General features: G+C 44.1%; 1 annotated feature.

Annotated features, from left to right (window-relative positions):
* Positions 1,153 to 2,352: an enhancer, noted in NCBI's record as "CDK7 strongly-dependent group 2 enhancer chr2:236302767-236303966 (GRCh37/hg19 assembly coordinates)". NCBI's record gives its function as "activates an origin of replication core promoter dependent on BRD2, BRD4, P300/CBP, MED14 and CDK7 cofactors, with strong dependence on CDK7, by STARR-seq in HCT116 cells {active_cell/tissue: HCT116}" and the evidence as "EXISTENCE:reporter gene assay evidence [ECO:0000049][PMID:35650434]".

Here is an 11,378-nt window from a genome sequence, read left to right on the forward strand (position 1 = left end):
CACCACACCTGGCTAATTTTTTGTATTTTTGGTAGAGACAGGGTTTCACTATGTTGGCCAGGCTGGTCTCGAACTCCTGACTACATGATCCACCTGCCTCAGCCTCCCAAAGTGCTGGGATTACAGGCATGAGCCACTATGCCCGGCTGGCTCTTCTTGTTTTAGAGATGGTGCTCATCGTGGGTACTGCAGCCTGGTTTCAAGACAGAGTTACCAGAGGAAAATAATGACAACTGATTAAAAGGGATTGGTTGTTAGTTCAAAAATAAATACAAGCATGGACATTTCTGGAATGATATACGGGTAATAGCCTACCCCTGGAAAATGACAGGAGTCCCTCAGGGGAAAAAATTGAGGTCCTGAGATAGGAAGAAGAATTTTGTCTTCATTTTATATCTCTTAGTTGTCTAAATTGTTGGCATGGGCATTATGACTTTTTTTTAATTAGAAAACACTCTTGTAAGGCACTCAACCACGCCACAGGCTCTGGTCCTCAGGTTTTCAATGAGAAAGCCGTCACCACAGAATAGTTTTCAGAAACTCTGCGATGTCTGCATGTTACACACAACCCTGGGGAAGGTGCGATGAAAGGGTTCAGTTAGAAGTGATAGAATCTCGCCTGGCGCGGTGGCTCACGCCTATAATCCCAGCACTTTGGGAGGCCGAGGCAAGCGGATCAGGAGGTCAGAAGATCAAGACCATCCTGGCTAACACGGTGAAACCCAGTCTCTACTAAAAATACAAAACATTAGCTGGGCATGGTGGTGTGTACCTGTAGTCCCAGCTACTCAGGACACTAAGGCAGGAGAATCGCTTGAACTCAGAAGGCAGAGATTGCAGTGAGCCAAGATCGCACCACTGCACTCCAGTCTGGGCCACAAAGTGAGACTCCATCTTGGGGGAAAAAAAAGAAGCTGTAGAATCCAAATAAATCAAATCAAAAGGCGATCAAACATCAAAAGAAAGGCCTCTCTCTATGTACTGACATGCTCAGTTTATAGTGGCAACCAATGACATCCAAAGAGGGCAGAAGGTCCTGCGATGGGGTCAGCTGAACAGGAGAATGGATTTTCTCTCGCAAGAGAGTACGTTATTGTGGGCAGTGCAGCTCCTGCCGGCTCTTCCTGTTCATATGAGGTTCCCCCTGGTAGGTCCCTTTCGGTTTCAAAGCCTTCCATCAGCCCCTGACATTCTTCCAAAGAGTGGAAAGACAGCAGAGGAGACCTCTGGGAAGGCTGTGCTGACATGGTTTGGCTCTGTATCCCCACCCAAACCTCATGTTGAATTTTGATCCCCAGTGTTGGAGGTGGGGCCTGGTGGGAGGTGATTGGATCAAGAGGGTGGTTTCTAACGCTTTAGCCCCATCCGTCTAGTACTGTCTCACGATAGAGTTCTCACGAGATCTGGCTGTTTGAAAGTGTGTGGCACCTCCCCCTTCTCTCTCTCTCTCTCTCTCTGGGGCTCCACCATGGTAAGACGTGCCTGCTTTCCCTTCACCTTCCGCCAGGATCGTAAGTTTCCTGAGGCTTCTCTAGAAGCAGAAGTCTGTACAGCTCGCAGAACTGTCAACCAATTAAACCTGTCTTCAAAGTAAATTACCCCATCTCACGTATGTCTTTATAGCACTGCAAGAACAGACTAATGCACGTATTGACCTCAGATTTGAGTATTGTCAGGCATTCTCTCCACTACCTTATGACTCAGAGTTGTTACTCATAAGGGTGGAATTTAAGGCTTACAAAAGCCTTGATTTGGAAATACTCTACCATGACCATTTCACCTCTGGACCACAGTCCAGATGACCTGTGCTCTAAGGTTGTTCTTGACCTTTCGTTTCATGTTCATATCGGCCTCTTTCCAACATCCAGACTCCATCCTTTTTTCCAAGCTCACAGGCCATAGCTCCTGACCTAACTGTGGAACTTAATCACATTTTCTCCCCGAGTTCAGATGCTACAACTTCTTGAACCAAAAGTTCTAGGTCACCTGTCTTTCCCCTAGCTCCAGCTAATCTTGGCCAAGAAACTTCACTGGATGTGAATTAGAAATTTTAAGTAATTCAAATGCGGAAAAAATTCTGAAAAAAACTTGCAAATGGTTGCAAAACCATGCAACCATTAGTGCATGAAAATTACTAATACTCAAAATATTATGTATGTTCATTATGAACCAAACTATTGTCTCAACCAATTTGCTTTCCATTGACCATTTTGCTTTCTCCCAAATGGCTTTCTGGCAAATTGTTTTCAACTATATCATTTACTACCCTGTCCGTGTCCCAGCCAAATCTTCACACGACTTTGTCATGTCACTCTTTTGCCCAGAACACTGCCTCCCCCACCAGTACCCCAGCTTTCCACTCCTACATCTTCCCAATCACAAAACATCCATCTACACCTGCCCTGCCTCAAGCTGGGGAAAGGCACCTGAATGCATTTCTTCCTGTGACCTATCATTCCTGCACCTCTCTTCCAGCCTTGTCATAAAAACTCTGGTTACGTCTCCTCTAAGCTTCCTGTAGCCAGTGCCCATTCTACCAGTCCTCTGTTCAACGAATAATTTAATTTCTCTCATTTTGGGGAGTATAACTTAACTCTCTCCTCTCCAGCTCTACAATTCTGAAGATAAGCATTGAGGCACCACAACACATGAGATATACCCTCATGTGCAGGAAGCCACATGCAATATCCTTCATCCTACAAAACCTTTCACAATTTGGGAGGCAGGTCCTAGAAACTGCTTTCTGAAACTACATTGAGGACAGCCCTGTAGGTCATCACCACCTAACAGAGTTTTCTTCCTCTCTGGTCTGTAATTTTTATTTAGCTTTTGGATTTCTCTCCATGAATTGAAAGCTAGAGAGTGAAAGTTGTAGAGAAAGAGAGAAAGGGAGGTAGAAAACTAGAGCACTGGAGTATCCTAGTCATAGAATTTCAGATGCATCAGCGATCTGAAACATCATTATACAAATGCACAAATTATCTTTCTTTTTTTCTTTCTTTCTTTTTTTTTTTTTTTGAGATGGAGTCTTGCTCTGTTGCCCAGGCTGGAGTGCAGTGGTGTGATCTCGGCTCACTGCAACCTCTGCCTCCCAGGTTCAAGCGATTCTTCTGCCTCAGCCTCCTGAGTAGCTGGGATTACAGGCATGCGCCACCATACCTGGCTAATTTTTGTATTTTTTAGTAGAGATGGGGTTTCACCATGTTGGTCAGGCTGGTCTCAAACTCCTGACCTCGTGATCCACCCACCTCGGCCTCCCAAAGTGCTAGGATTACAGGTATGAGTCACCACGCCTGGCCCACAAATTATCTTTCTATCAGCCTCTACTTGAAGACCTGTGAAGGGAGGAACTCATTTTCCCATTTTAACACTCCTATGCTTTGATTCCTCATGTCTCTTTCTTCTCTTTTTCACACTCAAAATGTCTGTATTTTTTTGTTGTTGTTTCAGGCTTTTCCTCCTCCTTATAACAGACACCTTTTCTTATTAACTCTAGGCTCCTTTTACACATTTTGTCTTTATTTCTACAATAAGTAGTATTAGTGAAGATTATTTTACCTGTTAGCTACAAAAACCTACTAGCTTAGACAAAAGGGAGAAGTTATTGGAAGAACACCGTGACAGTTGATGCAGTAGAAGGAGAGGTTAATGAACGCCCACATGGGACGATCAGGTTGCAAAGCAGCTGAAAGTACCAGAGCTGGGACTCCAAGTGTGTGTGTCTTTCTCATTCTCCCATCTCAGGCTCATCTCTGCTTTCCAGCCTTATTCCCTATCAGCCTAAGCTGGCTTTCCCCATGTGGCTGGAAGTATGGTGGCCAGCACCTGCCACATGTGATATCTTGGGTCTCCCATCATCAGAGACAGACTCCACCTTTACAGGTGCGGTGTGAGAAGTCCCAGGGACTTTCAGATGTGCTGAGCAGCCTGGCTTGGGTCAGGTTCTCAGACCAGATCCATCAACGTCGACCTGAGTCAATGAGTGTTAGCTCCCGGCTCTGAGTCCTCTAACCGTAGGATCTCAAGCCCACCCACACACTGGAAGGAAAGTGCTCTCACCAGGAGAGAGATGAACAGACAAAACAATACTTCCCTATGTAAGTGCACATTCTATGTAATAATAATAGCTATGACCACAGCAGGGAATATTGGCTGGCTGAGTTGGGCCAGATTCCTGGTGTAGATAATAGTGCCTGCCATTTGGATTGTTTGCACCTAGAATTATATTCGTATAGGATGATCGGCAGATAGTGGCCCTCCCCACGAAGATATTCATGTCCTAATCCCCAAAACCTGGGAATAGGTCACATTACATGGCAAGGGGAAATTACGGTTACTCATCAGCTGATCCTAAAATGGAGAGATTGTCCTGGATTATCTGGTAGCAGCCCCTGAGTGGGTCTAATGTAATCACCAGGTTCTTTAATGTGAAATAAAGTGGCCAAAGAGTCGGAGTCAAGATGTGTGATGTAAGAAACATGAATTTGGATGATTCTGGCTTTGGAGATGGAAGAGGACCACAAGGTAAGGAATGCCAGTGGCCTCTAGGAGTATGAAAAAGGCAAGAAAACAGATCAACAGATTCTCCCCTAGAGCCTCCAGATGAAAAGCAGCCCTCCCAACACCTGATCTTAGCCGTGAGATCCATTTTGGAATCTTTCTATATAAGTTCTATAATAAATTTGTGGCTGGGTGCAATGGTTCATGCCTGTAATCCTGGCACTTTGAGAGACCATCGAGGGATGGTTGCTTGAGCCCAGGAGTTTGAGACCAGCCTGGGCAACATAAGGCGACCCCATCTCTACCAAAAACAATTTTTTTTTCATTGGCCAGGTGTGGTGGTGCATGCCTGTAGTCCCGGCTACTCAGGAAGTTGAAATGGGAAGATCTCTTAGGTCCGGGAGGTCAAGGCTGCAGTAAGCTGTGATTGCAGCATCGCACTCCAGCCTGGGCAACAGAGCAAGATTTTGTCTCAAAAAAAAAAAAAAAAAAAGTAAAATAAAATAATAAATAAATAAATAAATGTGTATTGTTTTAAGCCTCTGAGTTTGTGAAAATTTATTACAGCAGCAATAGGAAACTAATACAAGCCATTCTCCCATGCCTGCGTGTTTCCAAAAACTTATGCTCTACCCCATTAATATATACAATTTTGTCAATTAAAAATATACAAAAATACCAAAAAAAGAAACTAATGTGCATAGTAGTGAGGTTATAAAGGGAAGGTTTTAGTTCGGAGAGAAGGGTCATCATAGCAGATAAATGAGGGGGAGCAGCAGTTCCTTTCTGCAGCCTTCGGCCTTTGAACTAGGTTTGGGGCCCTGTGTTAAGAGGGTTTGGGCTGGGTGCTGAAGGAACTGCTTTCATGAAAGAACACTGTGAGTCTCTGAGCAGAACAGAGCATTGAGAGGTGACATGACAAAGCATGTACAAAGCATGAACGGGGGAAAGGCCCTTCTCTTTACCTCTCTTCTGAACCAGTTCCACTCTTGACTCACAAAAAGCCATCAGCTTTAGAGACGCCTGGAGGCAGCATCCTTGGCATGCACATGTGCCCAACATGATGAAAACCACCAGCCAGGGGAGCTGTGAGGTCTTGCAGGCAGCAGTAGCCAACAAATAAGAGCCAGAGCAGAAAAGAAAAAAAAAATGAGTTGGATGCATGTACACAAAATACTGCAGACAATTACAGGAGCTGCCCATGGAGTCCTTCCATGAAGCCAGTCCAAGACCCCAGAGTAAGAAGCACTGGGACTATCCTTCCTTGCATTTTCCCATTAAACCTGCTCAGTTCAAGAGGACATGCACATAAACAAAATAAGGAAAGCTGTGGGCATGCTATGACCATCACACACTCACTCTGACTTTCTTAGCTTGTTATGACCTTGATCTCATGCTCAGCTCCTGTACTCTTAATATTTCTTTGTTTTATTTTTCTTTCTTTCTTTTTTTTTTTTTTTTTTGGAAACAGGGTCTCACTCTGTCACCCAAGCTGGAGTGCACTGGTGCAATCATGGCTCGCTACAGCCTCAAACTCCTGGGCTCATGCAATCCTCCCACCTCAGCCTCCCAAGCAGCTAGGTGATATGCTTTGGATTTGTGTCCCCACCCAAATCTCCAAACGTCCAGTTGTAATCCCCAGTGTTGAAAGTGGGGCCTGGTAGGAGGTGATTGGATCATTGGGGCAGTTTCTGATGGTTTAGCACCATCTCCTTAGTGCTGTCTCGTAATAGAATGCTCACAAGATCTGGTTGTTCAAAAGTGTGTAGCACCTCTCCCTTCTCTCTTGCTCCTGCTCCTGACATGTAAGACAGACATGCTTGCTTCCTCTTTGTCTTCTGCCATGATTGTAAGTTTCCTGAGGCCTCCCTAGCCATGCTTCCTATACAGCCTGTGGAACTGTGAGTCAATTAAACCTCTTTTCTATACAAATTAGCCAGTCTCTTTATGGCAATGCAAGAATGAACTAATACAGAAAATTGGGACCAAAAGTGAAGGCATTGCTATAAAGATACCTGACAATGTGAACGTGACTTTGAAACTGGATAACAGGAAGAGTGTGGAGGGCTCAGAAGACAGGAAGATAAGGGAAAGTTTGGAACTTCCTAGAGACTTGTTAAATTGTTGTGACCAAAGGCTGATAGTGATATGGACCATGAAGTCCAAGCTGAGGAGGTCTCAGATGAAGATGAGGAACTTATTAGGAACTGGAGCAAAAGTCACCTTTGTTATGAGTTAGCAAAGAGGTTGGAGGCATTGTGTCCCTGCCCTAGAGATCTGTGGAATTTTGAACTTGAGAGAGATGATTTAGGGTATCTGGAGGAAGAAATGTTTAAGCAGCAGAGCACTCAAGCTCAGGCTTATATGCATGAGCAAAGAGATGATCTGAAACTGGAACTTAAGTTTAAATGGGAAGCAGAATGTGAAATATTAGAAAATTTTCAGCCTGGCCATATGGTAAAAAAGAAAACCCCATTTTCTGGGGAGGAATTCAAGCTGGCTGCAGAAATTTGCAAAAGTAAAGAGTGGTCAAAGGTTAATAGCCAAGACAATGGGGAAAATGCTTGGAAGGTATTTCAGAGATCTTCACAGCAGCCCCTCCCATCACAGACCCAGAGCACTAGGAGGGAAGAATGATATCGTGGGCCAGGACCATGACCATGCTGCCCTGTGCAATCTCAGGACACTGCTCCCTGTGTTCCAGCCACTCCAGCTCCAGCCATGGCTAAAAGGGCCCCATATATGTCTCAGGCTGCTGCTCCTGAGGGCACAAGCTACAAGCCTTGGTGGCTTCCAAGTGGTGTTAAAGCCTGCAAGTGTGTAGAGGGCAAGAGTTCATGCTTGGGAGCCTCTGCCTAGATTTCAGAGAATGTATAAAAACACCTGGATTCCAAGCAGAAGTCTGCTGCAGGGGTGGAGCCCTCACGGAGAACCTCTGCTAGGGCAGTGTGAATGGAAAATGTGAGGTTGTAGCCCCCACACAGAGTCCCCACTGAGGCACTGCCTAGTGGAATTGTGAGGAGAGGGCCACCATCCTCCAGACCCCAAAATGGTAGATCCTCCTACAGCTTGCACTGTGTGCCTGGAAAAGCTGCAGACACTCAATGCCAGTCCATGAAAACTGCCCTGGGGCTGTACCCTGCAGAGCCACAGGGGCAGAGCTGCCCAAGGCCTCAGAGCCCACCCCTTGCATCAGTGTGGTCAGGATATGAGATATGGAGTTAAAGGAGATTATTTTGGAGCTTTGAAATTTAACGACTGCCCTGCTGGGTTTCAGACTTGCATGGGGCCTGTAGCCCCTTTGCTTTGGCCAATTATTTTCTTTTGGAATGGAAGTATTTACCCAATGCTTGTATACCCATTGTTTTTATTTTACAGGCTCATAGGCAAAAGGGACTTGCCTTGTCTCATATGAGACTTTGGACTGTGAACTTTTGAGTTAATGCTGAAATGAGTTAAAACTTTGGGGGACTGTTTAGAAGGGATGATTATATTTTGCAATGTGAGAAGGACATGAGATTTGGGAGGGGCCAGGGTGGAATAATATGCCTTGAGGTAGAATTGGCTCTGTGTCCCCAACCAAATGTCATGTTGAACTGTGATTCCCAGTGTTGGAGGTGGGGCCTAGTGGGAGATGATTGGATCATGGCAGTGGTTCCTTATGGTTTAGCACCATGTCCCTAGTGCTGTCTCATGATAGAATACTCACAAGTTCTGGTTGTTTGAAAGTGTGTAGCACCTCCCCCTTGCTCTCTTCATCCTGCTCCCACCATGTAAGACATGCTTGCTTCCGCTTTGTCTTCTGCCACGATTGTAAGTTTCCTGAGGCCTCCCCAGCCATGCTTCCTGTACAGCCTGTGGAACTGTGAGTCAATTAAACCTCTTTTCTTTACAAATTATCCAGTCTCAGGTAGTTATTTACAGCAATGCAAGAATGGACTAATACACTAGGACTATAGGTGTGTGCCACCACACCTGGCTAATTTTTTTATGTTTAATTTTTTTTGTAGAGACAGAGTCTCACTGTATTTCCTAGACTGTTCTCAAATTCCTGGGCTCAAGCCATCCTCCTGCCTCAGTCTCTCAGAGTGTTGGGATTACAGGTATGAGTCACCACACCTAGATTTGATATTTCAATATAGTCCGTCAACATTTATGCATAGAGTTTAAACATGTGATCCTCCCATCATTTGAATCTTGGCTTTTTCCAGTGTTGCCTTTAGGGAGAATCCCTCCCCTCTCCAATACAATTCCCTGTCCTCAGACTCTTGATTGGTGTCCTTGTCAGGCAAGCCAAGCCTTTGCAGAAAATGGGGATTTGAAGTAAAGAGTAGACTTTGACCCAGATCCTTGTCACTAACCCAATTCCCGAAGCCATTAGAAGGAATGGGAAAAAAATCACCCACATTTAAAACAGCCTACAACTTTCTCCTTCTCCAGCAGTGACTGAAATTACTTAAATGTCTAATTTTAATTTGATACATTTATCAGTACTTCTTAACTCTCATGAACTTATTCCAATCCTATTATGCAGAGATGTAGATTCAAATACATCTCTATAATTTGCAACAGTTAATCCTTTCCTGAATCCAATGCTCCAAGGCTAAACCTGGCTTTGAGATGCCAGAACCGATTAATGACAAAAAGGTAACACTTGCTGAGTGTGAATATTTCAGTTCATTTCTGCAACAGCTTTCGTTGGCCATTTTTATCAGAAGTCATCCCCCAATGATTCTCCATTTCTCTCAGACGAGGACTAGCACAGTGAAAAAAACATAATCTTTGGCACCAGACAGACTTGGGTTTCAGTCCCAGGCTTGTAATTAATAACTATAGGATCTGGGCAAACACATTACTTCTGAGCTTCTTTATCTGCCTATGGCATCATGATTGTTTAACTTTCAGGACAGTAGTGAGATTTAGAAATACGTGATGTGTCTGTGTCATGCCAAACTCCATGCCTCAGGTCTTCCACGGGGTATCTGGTCTATTTCCCACCTCCATTGGCCCTAACCCCTCTCACTGGCTTTCCAAAAGCAAAAGTAGCCTCCTTGTATGGTAACCCTGAACTTTGCCTGGATCCCTTTCAATCAAAAGGAAAGAATGTTCTCCTGCCCATTAAAGGAATGTGACATTTTCTTGCAGCCATTGATCACTGCTCAGGATTCTATTAGGAACTTGATGTTCCTTAGCAACCCCCTAGCAACAGAAGCTTACCTGCAATTGCATAAGGCTTTCCAGAAATTGTTTTCTAAAGGCACACTTATTCCTTACCAACATTTTTACCCTCAAGGAAATAATTTCTCTTTATTGCTTTTCCTGATCACAGAAGTAATACAAACTCGCTTTAGAAAATTCAAGCAATACACAAGTAAAGAAAAATAAAACTTCCTGGTCGATACTACTCTGTTCTCACCCTCGCACCCTGCCCCAAAGAAAACCTCCCAATAGATACTGTTAAACGAGGTTGGGGAGGTGGTGCTTTTGGTTGGTTTTTGGGGTTTTTTAATGGAGTTTAAGTTACTTTCATGGGCAATATGTGACAAAACTTTTTTTAGGTGTCAAAAATAGAAGACAGTTTCCCTTTTCTTTTAAGGAAGTGACTACCACAATTCCTGAATTCTGGGTTGTTTTGTTATTGTTGTTTTTTTCCTTTCTTTCCTAGACAATAAATATTTCCTTTATACTGAATTTAAGGAGACTGACAAAAGGACAGACTGTGGAAAGACTGTGAATAAGTTTGCCCAACCCAGTGAGCAGTGTTGGAGTGTGTGGTATAAAGACCAAAATGAATTAACATAAAGGCCAAGATGACATGGTCACTCAGTAGCTATCATGGCAATAAGCTGAGCTGGAATCCTCTGTACCTGAAAATAATAAAGCTGCTTTTTAAACCTTAATGAGAGTCTAAATGGATGCAACTAAGGCTAAAAGGAAAAATAGGCTTCAGGTGACTACAATGTGACCAACTCTCCAGGAAGCAAAAGATCTGAAGCCCCGTCCCTATAGTAACACCTGTCTCAGACCTGGAACATTACCACACCTGAGGTTCATTTCCTTTAGATCTTAAAAGCAATCGAAGTTTGAAACTCTCCTTGGTGCAAACACCTTTGGAAAAGGATGCCCTGCAATTGTAAAGTCTGGCCTTAGGAAGTGTTGCCCGGGCTCAATACTACGGAAAGTCCTCAGGGGACACAGCAGAGGGCCAGAGACCATAAAGCAAAATCTTTAGAGAAAGTCTTGTAGTGCAAATTGTAATATAGAAAACATAATATAGAAGAACAGCCCTACTCTTATTGAAGAGTTTGTAAATCCCTGGTATGGAAGAGAATAAATAGGATTTTAATTTCACATCTGGGCCCTGGTATTCATATCTTAGGGCAGGCAAGTCATTTAATCTCATTGGACCTCAGCTTCCTAAGCTGTAAAGTGAGAAAAAGAATCTGTGCCTCCCAAACTCATAGGGTTGATATGAAGTAAGTTAGGTGCTTTGAATCTTGAAAGCACAACTCAAATAGAATGTATACTATGAGAAAGAAATAGAGAAAACTTTACTCAGCTGTCTGCCCTCAGTGTAGCCAGAACGGGATATCAGTTCTATGACTTAAGACATTTGGCTGGGTGTGGTGGCTCACACCAGTAATCCCAGCACTTTGGGAGGCCAAGGCGGGTGGAGGTCAGAGGTTCGAGACCAGGCTAGCCAACATGGTGAAACCCTGTCTCTACTAAAAATACAAAAAAAAAAAAAAAAAAATAGCTGCACATGGTGGCGGGTGCTTGTCATCCCAGCCACTTGGGAGGCTGAGGCAGAATAATTGCTTGAACCCCAGGAGGCAGAGGTTGCAGTGAGCCGAGATCATGCCACACTCCAGTCTGGG

This window comes from Homo sapiens, chromosome 2 (genome assembly GCF_000001405.40).
Source record: "Homo sapiens chromosome 2, GRCh38.p14 Primary Assembly".
Lineage (NCBI taxonomy): Eukaryota > Metazoa > Chordata > Mammalia > Primates > Hominidae > Homo > Homo sapiens.